Below are 15,750 nucleotides of genomic sequence, written 5' to 3'. Positions count from 1 at the left end.
CCAGGCTTTAGGTCACCCCTAAAAGGACTGGAGACTGGAAACTGAGAGCAGCCACATGGACAATCAATCATGCCTCTTTGATGAAGTTCCAATAAAAACCCTGAACACTGAGGCTTGAGGGAGCCTCACTGGCTGAGAATACTCCATGTGTATTGGCACATAGCAAAGCCGGGAGGGTAATGCACTCTGACTGCATGGGGAAGGGATAATGGACACTCCATGCCTGGTGCTCTCCTGGACCCAGCACTATGCCTTTCTTCCCCTGGCTGATTTTAATCTGTCTCCTTTCCATGTAATCAAGCCATAACTATGAGTATAACAGCTTTCTGTGAGTTCTAGCCAATTCTTAGAGGTAAGCAAGCAGAGCTCATCTACTGCCTGCTTGAAAAAAACTATTTAAAAATCCCTAAACTGAAGAAGGCCAGAGCTCTCATGAATCTGACTCAACAGTTTTTGAAGCCAAAGCTGAGGGCATTTGAAGCCAAAGCCAGGCCAGACAGAGATGAGGCTCCTGGGGGGGAACAGGTGCAGTCCTGCTCAGGCTGCGGTGTCCCTGGGCTACAGCTCGATGAGGACTCCTTCTGGGTCACAGCTTCTAGGGGAAGAGTTTGGGGCAGGTTGACTGTCTGATTTGTAGGACTCTGGTGATGAGCTCAGCTGGGAAACTGTGTGGTAATGGGAAGAGAATGGTTTTGCTTTTCCAAATCATCTACCCCCTGTATGCTTGGATCCACATGGGAACTCAGTGTGGAAACTGCCTTTGAAGAGCCTAACCCTGAACTCTGGGCCATGTGTCCAGTTTCCTGGCCTCCAGCTTTGTTCACTCCTTACCCCTACCCATCACTGATGCCAGATCCATCCTCCCAAATATCCTTTCATCCTGTTACCCTCCCCACCACCTCATGGCACCTTCTACATGACAGGAAATGCCTCCCACCTCAGCCTGGCATTCAAGGTTCTTTTGATGTGGCCACCTCTCACCACCCCACCACATCTCCCTGTGGGCCCTGCCAACTTGGATCAATTTTTCCTATCCATGAGCTGAACTTTCCCACCTCCATACTGTTGCTTACACTGTGACCTTCCTCTGAATATTCTCTTCCTCCCTCTTCCCAAGTCCAAATGCTATAGACTGAATTGTGTCTCCCCAAAATTCACACTTGGAGCCCTAACCCCTATGTGATTGTATTTGGAAACAGGGCTCTTAGGAGGTAAAGTTAAGTGAGGGAGGAGGGGCAGAGCAAGATGGCTGAATAGCAGTCTCCATCAGTGATTCTCCTTGCAGGAAAATCAAATTTAACAACTGTCTACACCAAAAAAGCATCATCATAAGAACCAAATATCAGGTGAGGACTCACAGTACCTGGGTTTAACTTCATAACACTGAAAGAGGCACTGAAGAGGGTAGGAGAGACAGTCTTGAAACACCGAGGCCATTCCTCTCCCATCTCCCAGCAGCGGCCGCTGTGGTGCTGAGAATCTGTGCACCTGGGGGAGGGAGAATGCAGCAACTGTGGGACTCTGCCTTCAACTCAGTGCTGCCCTGTCACAGCAGAAAGTGAAACCAGGTGGAACTCATGTGACACCTGCCCATGGAGGGAGCATTTAGACCAGCCCTACCCAGAGGGGTTCACCCATCCCAGTAGTTAGGAGGCTTGAGGCTTGGGTTTTGACAAGCCTTGGCATGGCAGGCTATTATGCCCTGGGGCCCTAAATACACTTGAAAGGCAGTCTAGACCATAAGGACTTCAACTCCTAGTCAAGTCCTGATGCCATGCTGGGCTCAGAGCCAGTGGACTCAGGTGGCACACAACCTAGAGAGACACCAGCCAGGGCAGCCAAGGGAGTGCTTGCACCACCCCTCCCGCAACCCCAGGCAGCGCAGCTTGCAACAACTAAACTGACTTCTTCCTTTTGCTTGAGGAGAGGAGGGGGAAGAGTAAAGAGGACTTTGTCTTACATCTTGGATACCAGCTCAGCCACAGTAGGATAGAACACCAGTCAGAGTAGAGAGGCCCCCATTCCAGAACCTAGCTCCTGAAGTGACATTTCTAGACACACCCTGGGCCAAAAGGGAATCTGCTGCCTTGAAGGAAAGAACCCAGTCCTGGCAGGATTCATCACCTGCTGACTCAAGAGCCCTTGGGCCCTGCAGAGCCAACAGTGATACCCAGGTGGTATGCTTTGGGCCTGGAGTAAGGCTCTGAGACATGCTGGCTTCAGGTGAGACCTAGCATATTCCCAGCTATGGTGGCTGTGGTGAGAGACTTCTTCTACTTGAGAAAAGCAGAGGGAAAGGTAAAAGGGACTTTGTCTTGCAGCTTAGGTACCTCCCTGGACACAATGGGGCAGAGAGCACCAAATGGGCTCTTGTGGTTACTGATTCTAGGCCTTGGCTATTAGACAAGCCCTGGACCAGACAAGCTATTGGACCTGCCCTGGGCCAGAGGGGAGCCCACTGCCCTGAAGGGTGAGTCCCAGGCCTAGAAGCATTCACCACAGGCTGACTGAAGAGCCCTTGGGCCCTAAGTGAACATTGACAGTAGCCTGGCAGCACTCCCTGTGGGCCTGTGGAGGTGGCCACAGGGTGAGGCTCCTCCTCCTGTGGAATGGGGAAGGAAGAATGGCAAGGACTTTGTCTCATGGTTTCAGTGCCAGCTCAGCCATCATAGAATAAAGCACCAGGTAAATTTCTAAGGTTTTTGACTCTAGTCCCTGGCTCCCAGACAGCATCTCTGGACCCACCAGGGCCTGAGGGAACTCGTTGCCCTGAAGGGAAGGACACAAGCCTGGCTGGCTTTGCCACCTGCTGACTGTAGAGCCCCAGGGCCTCGAGTGAACATAGGCGATAGCCAGGTAGTGTTGACAGTGGGCCCTGAGTGAGACCCAGTGCTTTGCTGGCTTTAGGTCTGACCCAGTGCAGTCTCAGTGGTGGTGGCCATAGGGATGTTGTGTCAGCCCACTCCCAGCTCCAAGTGGCTCAGCAGAGAGCGAGAGAGCGAGAGCGAGAGAGAGAGAGAAAGAGAGACTGAAACTATTTAGGAGAAATTACAGGTAAAGAATAAGAGTCTCTGCCTGGTAGTCCAGAGAATTCTTCCAGATCTTATCCAAGACCACCAAGGCAATACCTCTATGAGTCTTCAAGCACCATAGCATAACTGGGCTTGGAGAGTCCCCTAATACAGATACAGCTTAGATCATAACACCCACATCCTTTCAAGTACCTGGAAAGCCTTCCCAAGGATGAGTACAAACAAGCCCAGACTGAGAATACTATAGTAAATACCTAACTCTTCAATGCCCAGGCACTAATGAACATCCACAAGCATCAAGACCATCCAGGAAAACATGACCTCATCAAACAAACTAAGGCACCAGGGACCAATCCTAGAGAAACAGAGATATGTAACCTTCCAGAAAGAGAATTCAAAATAGTGTAATCCCAGCACTTTGGGAGGCCAAGGTGGGCGGATCACGAGTTCAGGAGATCGAGACCATCCTGGCTAACATGGTGAAACCCCGTCTCTACTAAAAATACAAAAAATTAGCCAGGCATGGTGGCGGGCACCTGTAGTCCCAGCTATTCAGGAGGCTGAGGCAGGAGAATGGTGTGAACCCAGGAGGCGGAGCTGGCAGTGAGCCGAGATCACGCCACTGCACTCTAGCCTGGGCGACAGAGCGAGACTCCGTCTCAAAAAAAACAAAAAAAAAAAATAGTGGTTTTGAGGAAACTTAAATTCAAGATAACACAGAGAAAGGATTCAAAATTCTATCAGATAAATTTAACATGATTAAATAATTAAAAAGAATCAAGCAGAAATTCTGTAGTTGAAAAATGCAAATGACATAATGAAGAATGCATCAGAGTCTCTTAATAGTAAAATTGATCAAGCAGAAGAAAAAGTTAGTGAGCTTGAAGACAAGCTATTTGAAAATACACAGAGGAGACAAAAAAATAAAAAATGAAGCATGCCTACAAGATCTAGAAAATAGCCTCAAAAGGGCAAAGCTAAGAGTTATTGGCCTTAAAGAGGAAGTAGAAAAATAGACAGAGGTAGAAAGTTTATTCAAAAGGATAATAACAGAGAACTTTCCAGACCTAGAGAAAGATATAAATATTCAAGTACAAGAAGGTTATAGAACACCAAGCAGATTTAACCTAAAGAAAACTACCTCAAGGCATTTAATACGCAAACTCCCAAAGGTCAAGGATAAAGAAAGGATCCTAAAGCAGCAAGAGAAAAGAAACACATAACATACAATGGAGCTCTAATACATCTGGCAGCAGACTTTCAGTGGAAACCTTACAGGCCAGGAGAGTGTGGTGTGATATATATATATATATATATATATATATATATTTTTTTTTTTTTTTTTTTTTTTTTTTTCAAGACCGAGTCTTGCTCTGTCACCCAGGCTGGAGTACAGTGGCGTGATCTCGGCTCACTGTAACCTCTGCCCCCTGGGTTCAAGCAATTCTCCTGCCTCAGCCTCCTGAGTAGCTGGGATTACAGGTGTCTGCCACCACACCCGGCTAATGCTTGTAATTTTAGTAGAGACGGGGTTTCACCATGTTGGCCAGGCTGGTCTTGAACTCCTGACCTTGTGATCCACCCGCCTCGGCCTCTCAAAGTGCTGGGATTACAGGTGTGAGCCACTGTGCCTGGCTGGCATGACATATTTTAAGTGCTGAAGAAAAAAATATTTTACCCTAGAATAATATATCCAGCGAAAATATCCTTCAAACCTGAAAGAGAAATAAAGACTTTCCCAGACAAACAAAAGTTGTGGGATTTCATCAACACCAGACCTATCCTACAAGAAATGCTAAAGGAAGGTCCTCAATCAGAAACAAAAGGATATTAGCGAGCAATAAGACATCATCTGAAGGTACAAAACTCAGTGGTAATAGTAAGTACACAGAAAAACACAGAATATAACACTGTAATTATTGTGTGTAAATGACTCCAGTAGAAAGACTAAAAGATAAACCAAACAAAAATAATAACTACAACAACTTTTCAAGACACAGCTCAATAAGATGTAAATAGAAACAACAAAAAGTTAAAAGGCTGAGGGACAAAGTGAAAGTGTAAAGTTTTTGTGTTTTCTTTTTGCTTATTTGTTTGCTTCTTTATGCAAGCAATATAAAGGTGTCATCAGTTTAAAATAATGGGTTATAAGATAGTATTTGCAAGCCTCCTGGTAATCTGAAATCAAAAAAACATACAATGAATACACACACACAAAAACAAGAAATTAAATTTTACATCCAGAGAAAATCACCTTCACCAAAAGGAAGAAAGGAAGGAAGGAAGGAAAGAAGAAAGAGAAGACCATAACAACTAGAAAGCAAATAAGAAAAGGGCAAGAGTAAGTCCTTACGCCCTGTAGGCCTGATCAATAATAATATTGAATGTTAATGGACTAAACTCTCCAATGAAAGAGTAGCTGAATGGATTAAAAAAAAAAGACCCAATGAGTTATTGCCTACAAGAAACACACTACACCTACAAAGACACACACAGATTGAAAATAAACGGATGGAAAAAGATATTCCATGCCAATGAAACTAATAAAGAGCAGGAGTGGCTATACTTATAACAGACTAAATAAATTTCAAGACAAAAACTATAAGAAGAGACAAAGAAGGTCATTATATAATGATAAAGGGATCAATTCAGGGCTGGGCACGGTGGCTCATGCCTGTAAACCCAGCACTTTGGGAGGCCAAGGTGGGCAGATCACGAGGTCAGGAGATCGAGACCATCCTGGCCAACATTGTGAAACCCCGTCTCTACTAAAATACAAAAAAATTACCTGGGTGTGGTGACGCGTGCCTGTAGTCCCAGTTACTCGGGAGGCTGAGGCAGGCGAATCACTTGAATCTGGGAGGTGGAGGTTGCAGTGAGCTGAGATCACAACACTGCACTCTAGCCTGGGGGACAGAGTGAGACTCCATCAAAAAAACAAAAAAACAAAACAAAAAAAAAAACGAGAGAGAGAGGTCAATTCAGCAATAGGATATAACAATTTTAAATAGATATGCACCCAACACTAGAGCACCCAGATATATAAAGCAAAGTCTATCAGAGCTAAAGAGAGAGATAGACCCAATACAATAATAGCTGGAGACTTTAACACCCTACTTTCAGCATTGGATAGATCTTCTGGACAGAAAATCAACATAGAAACATTGAATTTCATCTTCACTGTAGATAAATGGACCTAATAGATATTTACAGAACATTTTATCCAATGGCTACAGAATACACATTCTTTTCCTCAGCACATTGATCATTCTCAAGGATAGATCATATCTTAGGTCACACAACAAGTCTTAAAACACTCAAAAAAACTAAAATAATATCAAGCATCTTCTCTGGCCACAATGGAATAAAACTAGAAATTAATAACAGCAGAAAATTTGGAAACTATACAAATATATGAAGATTAAATAATATGCTGTGGGTCAATGAAGAAATTAAGAAGGAAATTGAAAGATTTCTTGGAACAAATGATAATGGAAACAAAACACACCAAAACTTATGGGATACAACAAAAGCAGTAGTAAGAGGAAAGTTTACAGCTATAAACATCTACTTTTAAAAAGTAGAAAAACATCAAATAAACCACCTAACAATACATTTTAAAGAAATAGAAAAGCAAGAGCAAATCAAACCCAAAATTAGTAGAAGAAAACAAATAAGAAAGATCAGAGCAAAAATAAATGAAATTGAAATGAAGGAAACTATACAAAGCATCAATGAAATGAAAAGTTGTTTTTTTTAAAAGATAAACAACACTGACAAACTTTTAGCCTAAGACTAAGAAAAAAAGAGAAAAGACCGAAGTAAAAAAAATCAAAGATGAAAAAGGAAACATTACAACTGATACCGCAAAAATTCAAAGGATCACTAGTGGCTATCATAAGCAACTATATGCAAAGAAATAGGAAAACCTACTAAAAATGGATAAATTTCTAGATACATCCAGCCTACCAAGATTGAACCATGATGAAATCCAAAACCTGAATAGACCAATAACAAATAATGAAATCGAAGCAGCAATAAAAATTATCCCAGCAAAGAAAAGCCTGGGAACCAATGGCTTCAATGCTGAATTCTACCAAACATCTAAAGAACTAATACCAACCTTACCCAAACTATTCCAAAAATAGAGGAGGGAATACTTCCAAACTCATTCTACAATGCTAGTATTACCCTGATACCAAAACTGAAGATACATTAAAGAACAAAAAATACAGACCAATATCACTGATGAATATAGATGCAAAAATCCTCAATAAAACATTAGCAAATTGAATTCCACAACACATTAAAAAGATCATTCATCATGACCAAGTGGGATTCATCCCGGAAGGACAGTTCAACCTACACAAATCAATCAATGTGATACATCATGTCAACAGAATGAATGACAAAACTACATGATCATTTCAATGAATGCTGGAAAAGCATTTGATAAAATTTCACATCCATTCCTGATTAGAAAACCCTTGAAAAACTGAGAATAGAAGGCATATGCCTCAACATAATAAAAGCCATATGCAACAGACCCACAGCTAGTTTCATACTGAATGGGAGAAAACTGAGAGCCTCTTCTGTAAGATCTGGAACATAACAAGCATACCCACTTTCATCACCTTTCATCACTGTTAATCAACATAGCTTTGGAAATCCTAGCTAGAGCAAACAGATAAGAGAAAGAAATAAAGGGCATCCAAATTGGAAAGGAAGAAGTCAAATTATTCTTATTTGCAGATGACATAATCTTGTATTTGGAAAACCCTAAAGACTCACACACAAAAAAACTATTAGAACTGATAAACTAATCCAGTAAAGTTGTCGGATACAAAATCAACATACAAAATTCAGTGGCATTTCTATATGTCAACAGAGAACAATCTGAAAGAGAATTCAAGAAATTAATTCCATTTACAATAGCTACAAATAAAATAAAATACATAGGAATTAACCAAAGAAGTAAAAGTTCTCTACAATGAAAACAATATACTGATACAAGAAATTGAAGAGGACACAAATGAAATGAAAAGATATTCTATGTTCATGGATTGGAAGAATCAGTATTGTTAAAATGTCCATAGTACCCAAAGCAATCTAAAAATTCAATGCAATGTCTATCAAAACATCAATGACATTCTTCACAGAAATAGAAAAAAATCCTAAAATTTATATGAAATTACAGAAGACCCAGCATAGACAAAGCTATCCTAAACAAAAAGAACAAAACTAGAGTAATCACATTACCTGACTTCAAATTATACTAGAGAGCTAAGTAGTCAAAACGACATGGTACTGGCATAAAAACAGATGCCAAGAATACACATTGTGGAAAGAACAGTCTCTTCAATAAATGATGCTGAGAAAATTGGATTTTTTAATATGGCAAGAGATAGGGGCTTGATTTCATTCTTCTGCATATGGATATCCAATTTTCCCAGAAACATTTATTGAAGAGACTGTCCTTTCCACAATGTGTATTCTTGGCAATTTTGTCAAAAATAAGTTCCCTGTAGATGTATGAATTTATTTCTGGGTTCTCTATTCTATTTCATTGGTCTATGTGTCAATTGCAACCACATGGATGGAACTGGAGGTCATTATGTTAAGTGAACTAAGCCAGACACAGAAAAACAAACTTCACATGTTCTCACTTATTTGCAGAAGCTAAAGGTTAAAATAACTGAACTCATGGAGATAGAGTAGAAGGATGGTAACCAGAGGCTAGGAAGGGTAGTGGGGTGATGGTAAGGAAGTGGGGGTTGTTAATGGTACAAAAAATTAGTTAGAAAGAATATGACCTAGTATTAATAGCACAACAGGGTGACTGTAGTCAATAATAATTTACTTATACATTCCAAAATAACTAAAAGAATGTAATTGGATTGTTTGTGATACAAAGGATAAATGCTTGAGGTGATGGATACCCCATTTACCAGATGTAATTATTATCCATTGCATGCCTAGTGCTGCGAGATGTGTTTCCCATGCTACCCTGCTGATTCCTCCTCCCCGGGGCAGTCAGGAAGGTGGTTTGCATTTCTCAGTTCAGCTGTTCCCAAAGAGATGGGCCAACCCAAACCCCATAGTCCCTCTGGCCAACACTGAAGGTATTTTGTGGGTTTCAGCCCCATGGGCGATATTCTGTCAATCTAGAATGTGTCTGACCTACAGTCACAGTGAGATAGTGAAGGCCTTGAGTGCCTGCCAAGAGCTGGAGCTTTATCAGGCAGAGCAAGGTCTCTGGGAAGAAGGAGAAACACTGGTGCACCCTGCTGGTGAGGGAGCTGGCGCCTGTGGCAGGGGTCTGGGGGCTCTCTCCTTGCACATCCAGCTGGGCCTAAAAGTAGTACGTCCCATCTGACTTTTTCCAAGGAGAGTTTGACTTCCTTTCCCAGCACTGAACTTGTTTCTGCTTGACATAGTGACAAAACTGTGTGTATTTTACCTGGGGCTGGAGATCAGTCAGCATCAAAAGTAGCAATTTAAGAAGACAAGACTGGCGAAGGGAATGTAGCCCTGAACTATCCAAAGGCCAAAATACTTTTTTTGTGGCCTTCAAGGCCCCTGGTGTCTGGCTAAAAGGAAGAGCACAAAGATGTATGGCTGAAGGTCTGTGTTCTCATCCCATCTCTGCTATCAAGCTACTATGTGCAAACACTCAACCTCTCTGAACCTCAGTTTCCTCATCTGTAAATTGATGAGAATATTGCCACCCTCCCTGGGCTTATGGGAGGTTCAAATCAAGTTCAGCTCTACATAGATATTTGACACTGATTTGCAGTCTTCCTCAGCTGCCCCCTGCAAGCTCTCAGTTCCTTATCTGCTGGGGCTGGAGGTAAAAGGACCAATCAGGAGGCAGCTGAGGCTTTCCACAGAAGTGCCCCTGGGTAGCAGAATCAGAGTATAACCAAAAAAGGACCCTCAGTGATAAAGGAGAATGACAGAAAGGAGGGGAGACAAAGGAAGGGAGGTGGGCTTGAGGGTGGGGTGCAAAAGCTGTTCATTCATCTCTCATTTATTTGAACCTATCATGTGCCAAGCACCATGCTGGGCCTTGGGAACTCAGATGAACAAGACTCTCATTCATTCATTCATTCATTCATTCATTCATTCATTCATTGAACATATAGTTATTAAGGGACTTGTATGAAGCTGCCAGGTTCTGGCATAGAGAGGGGGGGTCAGGTAAGCAAATGAGCAATTGCAATCCAGGCTGGTGAGTAGACTAGGAGAGGATGTAGAGAGGGGGGCAAAGGGCACTGCAGATGGAGGAGGCCTCCTATTCTGAGGCTGCAAGGAATTCCCCAAGGCTGGAAGGGACAGTATGTGTTGTGGTTAGAGGGGAGGCTGAAAAGGCCAAGAAAGACCCTGAATGCCACCAAGAGTTTGGAACACATGTACGTAGCTACTGAGCACCTTCCCAAAGGGAAACGCCAGACTCAGATTTTAATTTGGCTACAGTGTGGCGAGTGGAATGAAACTGGGGGATGAAGCAAAGAGGAGGGTAAGAAGGAAGAGATGAGACTGTGGAGATGGTTGAGAGGACTGGGTGACTGGCCTTTAGAGGGTAGGGAGAGGGGACAGGCAGCCATGCAGCCTGTATTCACTGAATGGGAGCAGAGCAGAGTGTTGGGGAACTTACTAACCAGGCAGGCTGCTAAGCCCACCCCAGGTGCACTGAATCAGAATCTCTGGAGTGGGGCTCAGCAATGTGTATACTGCAGCTCAGTGTTCCTGGTCTTGGTGGTCGTGTAGAGGATCCCTAAGACCAGCCATGGGCTCAATGATTTGTTATAAGGATGCAAAGGACTTAGAAAAGCCATTATACCCTTGGTCATGGTTCATTACAGGGAAAAGATACAGATTAGAATCCGCAAAGGGAAAAGGGACAAAGTCTAGGAGAAACCAGGCACCAGCTTCCAGTTATGCTTTCCCAGTGGAGTTGCACAGACAGTGGTTAATTCTCCCAGCAATGATGTGTGACAGCACATGCTAAGTGTTGTCTACCTGGGAAGCCCACCCAGGCAAGCCTTAGTGTTCAAGGTTTTTCTTGGGGGGTCAGTCATGCAGGCATGCAGCTCCTGGGTGACTGACCCCAGCTACTCAGGCTTCAGTCCTTAAAGAAGTCGTATTGATACACCAAGGCCCAAAGTCTCAGGCATACAAAAACATTCTTACAAGGCAGAATATTCAGCCAGGTGTGGGCATGGTGGCTCACGCCTGTAATCCCAACACTTTGGGAGGCCGAGGCAGGTGGATCAACTGAGGTCAGGAGTTCGAGACTAGCCTGGCCAACATGGCGAAACCCCGTCTCTACTAAAAATAGAAAAAAATTAGCCAGGCCTGGTGGTGGGTGCCTGCAATCCCAGCTACTCGGGAACCTGAGACAGGAGAATCGCTTGAACCCAGGAGGCAGAGTTTGCAGTGAGCCCAGATCGTGCCGCTGCACTCCAGCCTGGGCAATGGAGTGAGAATCCACCTCAAAAAAAAAAATAAATAAATAAATAAAAGGCAGAATATTCTAAAGTTATCTCCCCAGATGTGGTCAAGGGCCAATCCTCTTTTTGGAATGTGCAGGGTTGGAGTGACCCAAGGCTGCTGAGCAAACTAACCCTTTACTGTCCAGTGGTCTATATTAGAATGGCCTGGGGAGCTTTCAGAATGCCCTATGGCCAGGCTGCACCCAGACCAATCACTCAGAGTCCCTGGAGAGTCTATCCAAGGTCAAGACCCACAGCCATAGATAGTAATTGGTACCAAAGGGGAGTGAGCTCATCCCAGAGGGAATGAGGAGAGAGTGGTCACAGGTGGAAGAGATGCCCAAGAGCAGTGGACTAAGGATCAGCAGAGGCTGCAGACTGCGAGAAGGATGGCACACAGAGAAGGAGAGCTAGAGAAAGGGCAGAGAACCAGGGTCCCCAGAGTCTGGACAGCAAAGAGAGAGAGTAGGCAGCCAAGTCACATAGTGATCTGGTGCCTTAGTCAGCTCAGGCTGCTATAACAAATTACTAGGTGGCTTAGACAGTCATTTATTTTTCATAGTTCTAGAGGCTGGGAAGTTGGAGATCAGGCTGCCAGCATGGTTTGGGTTGGGTGAGGACTCTTTTCTTGGTTTCTCCTATGGAACCTCCTTGCTATATCCTCACACGGCAAAGAGAGAGAGAGAAGGCCTACTTGCTCGTGTTTCTTCCTATAAGGGCATTAATTTCATCATGCAGGATACAAACATTCAGTGCATAGCACCTGGGAAGGCTCAGTTAGGCCCAGGGTGGGAACAGGATGCCAGGAGGTGCAAAAATTTCTGTCAGTCTGGCACTCTGTTCCCCCTCCCCCTCCCCTTCCTCCTCTTGCTCCTCCTCCTCCTTCTGATCCCCTCCCTCTTTCTTCTCTGCAGCTCTCCACTCCCTTCCTAGACTTTCTTCATAGAGCCAGAAGAGGGTACCTGAATTGGCCTGGACTGCTCAGCCTGTACGGTTCTGGGAGTGGGGTGGGGTGGATGGAGTGAACTCAGCAGGCACCCCCAGCTCTGCTCTCCTGTGGTGTGACTGGATCTCCAGGAGGGACTTCGACTTTTCCAGGTCTTAGCACTGAAGATGCTTTGGTGCTTCTGCACAGGGGAGAAAATTCAAAATAAAAACAAAACCATAAACCATGCAATACAACTTTTATATGGATGCTAAAAATAAAATGTTGTTTTGTTTTCTTAAAGTTTCCAATGGCAAAAGTCTGAATATTTGGAAGCTGAACCTCCTTTGCCCTCTTTTGGAGGATGTACTGGTTTTGTAGTCATCCGAAACCCGCCTTGGTTTACCTATGTACTGGGTCACCCAGTCCTGTGGACCTTTGAGTCTCAAGCCCATGCACACCAGGGCAAAGGCCTTTGGAACCCTAGTATTCTTCCTGGGGTGGGAAACACACTGACTCCTCTGCATTATCCCCCTCACCCCCACCCTAATGGCTCTGCAGGGGAGAAGGGCTTTGATGCATTATTCAGGGATCTTCAGGGCCAGCTCTCAGCTGATTCCCAACATGTGATTCACTATGAGCTGGAGCTCAGCTGAGCTCGGGGAAGACCCAGGTAAATAGAAGCCATCCCTGGCCTGGACTGGGAGCAGGGGGATGGGGCAGGACTCTGATCAGCATCAGTCTTGCCAGGCAGGGGCCCAGAAGCTTGGGGGGATTCTGGGGATGCCTTGGCCTGAGGCTGTAGGATCGTCCAAGATGGGTGTCCAGGAAGAGGGGAACATGAGCCACTGAAGCCATAGCCGAGACCCAGGCCATGGCACATGATAATATGTGGGATTCCTGGGGCAGGGCCTGTGTCTGGCATGTGGCAAGAGCTCAAAAACTAATGGTGGGATCAAATCCCCATGAGCAGAGCCCATCCAGGGTCACCAAAGAGCCTCCTGTCACCCTGGCCTGTCTCACTGGGGTTCTGCCTTGTTGATGCCGAAAATCTGAAGCTGATTACAGTAAGCAGTCAGTAGCCCTCTCCCAGCCTGGTCTTTCCTGGCCTCAGGCCACATACCACTTCCAGGAAGCCCTTGTTTTCCGCTGCAATGTGGCTTCCTCTGCTCCGAGTGTGGATCTGGTGTGAGCTTGGCATTGGAAGTCGCTTGGCTGGATTCAGACTCTAGGTCCCCAGTACAGCAAAGCCACTCATTAACCATGTGGTCTCAGGCAAGTGACTTAACCCCTCTGAGCCTTGATTTCCTCATCCATAAATGAAAACTAATACTAGTCCCTATTATCAGAGCTCACAGAGTGAAGTGCAGAGCACAGTGCTTGGCATATGAGAAGCACTAAGCATGTGTTAACTGGATGAACGAATGAGGAAATGAAGGAAGTGGGGCCTGCCCAGGGATTGACCTAGGGAAGCATCTCCTGGCTTCCTCCCGCTAAGGCTCTAGCCAAACCCTCCCCATCACTGAGAAGGCCTCGGGGCCAGCAGGTGATGTGAGGAGGAGAGAGTGACAGTGAGGAACACCTCCAGACCTGGGAGGGTCCTGTGGGGGCCCTTCCTGGCACCAGGAGATGAGGGAGAAAAGGATTAAAGGCAGGAGCTTTCCCAGGACGAATCAAGTCATTATAGGGTTGGATTGCAGGCGCTCAGTTTACATGATAAAGTTCCTTTTGGAAGGGGTGGAAATACTGGTTTTAAGAAACGATTTAGCTTGCATGACATGACTGCAAAGGGCAGAAATAAATATGAATGCCTAATCCAAATTCAGTCCTCTCCAAAAAGCATCCAACTCTCTGAAAGTTGGTTTTGAAGGAAGCTTTTCCCCCACTCCCATCCAGACCCTGCTCCTAAAAGGCAAGGTGTCCAATCATCTGGCAGGGGAAACAGCTTCAATTCTGCCCAGCCCTAGTTGTTCTTAATTAAAGAACAATCTGTTTTTTTTTTTTAACTCTTTGTTCTGTGATCTTTTTTACCCCATCTCTTTTCAAAGGTGTTTTCTTTTGTTTTGTTGAGACAGGGTCTCACTTTGTCTCCCAGGCTGGAGTGCAGTGGTGTGATCTCAGCTCACCGCAACTTCTGCCTCCCAGGATCAAGCAATCCTCCCACCTCACCCTCCCGAGTAGCTGGGACTATAGGTGCACGCCATCATGCCTGGCTAATTTTTGTATTTTTTTACTGTAGAGATGGGGTCTAGCCATGTTGCCCAGGTTGGTCCAAAACTCCTGGGCTCAAGCAATCCTCCTGCCCCAGCCTCCCAAAGTACTGGGATTACAGGCATGAGCCACCTTGGCTGGCAAAAGCTGTGATCTTTATGCATCAGAGAGGAACATCAAGAAAGCAGAAACTTGCTTGGCTTGCCAGATCTTGGGAGGTTTTGTTCCCATGCTAGGTCTTGGGCCTCTCTCACCTGGAGCTACAGCAGACATTTCAGCCATATCTCACAATACTGATTTCAGCTCTCCTCTCTCCCACTACATGACAACCAGAAGCTTTATTAGAAAGCCTTAGCCTGACATTGTGACCTCTACATTGAGGTAAAGAACTAGATAGAAAAAAGGTCTATCTAGTCCAAAATGTCAGAGAGGCCAGGTGCGGTGGCTCATGCCTGTAATCCCAGCACTTTGGGAGGCTGAGGCAGGCAAATCACCTGAGGTCAAGAGTTTGAGACCAGCCTGGCCAACATGGTAAAACCCCATCTCTACCAAAAATACAAAAATTAGCCAAGTGTGGTGGCAGGTGCCCATAGTCCCAGCTACCTAGGAGGCTGAGGTACAAGAATCACTTGAACCCGAGAGCCGGAGATTGCAGTGAGCTGAGATTGCACCCTTGCACTCCAGCCTGGGTGACAAAGCAAGACTTAAGTCTCAAAAAAAAAAAAAGAAAAGAAAAAAGTCAAAGAGAAACTCTGGGTTAGAGGAAGGGTTGTCCTCCAATGAGCATGGCCTTAGGCTTTCAGCCCCTCTAAGAATGAGTTGTTCCTTGCTTTTTGTCCTCCAATGACCACATCCTTAGGCTTTCAGCCCAAGAATGAGTTGTTCCTTGCTTTTTTTCCTCCATCTCTCATTGGCCCAGATGTGGGGAAGGGAGGAGTTAGACCAGGGTAGGATCCAAGCACTCCTGATCCTCTGAGCCAAATATGGTTCTCCAGATAGCACAATTTCCCTGAAAAATGCAGTCCAACATGGAGAGGGTGAGAAACATGCTTCATCTTCTACTACACTGGCTTTAAGAACTAATCTT

The 15,750-nt window shown here is 44.8% G+C and overlaps 1 long non-coding RNA gene across 4 annotated transcripts in view; it reads left to right on the top strand.

Moving 5' to 3' along the window:
• Positions 1-12,760, top strand: part of LOC105370913 (uncharacterized) — a 36,339-nt gene extending 23,579 nt beyond the window's left edge. For all 4 annotated transcript variants that reach the window (XR_932509.2, XR_932508.2, XR_932511.3 and 1 more), the window contains exon 3: positions 12,442-12,760. This is a non-coding gene — a long non-coding RNA (uncharacterized LOC105370913). The remainder of the gene's footprint in view (positions 1-12,441) is intronic.
• The last annotated feature ends 2,990 nt before the right edge of the window (positions 12,761-15,750 follow it).

This window comes from Homo sapiens, chromosome 15 (genome assembly GCF_000001405.40).
Source record: "Homo sapiens chromosome 15, GRCh38.p14 Primary Assembly".
NCBI lineage: Eukaryota > Metazoa > Chordata > Mammalia > Primates > Hominidae > Homo > Homo sapiens.
Note: the sequence above shows the minus strand (reverse complement) of the source record. Positions and strands in the feature narration are given on the sequence as shown.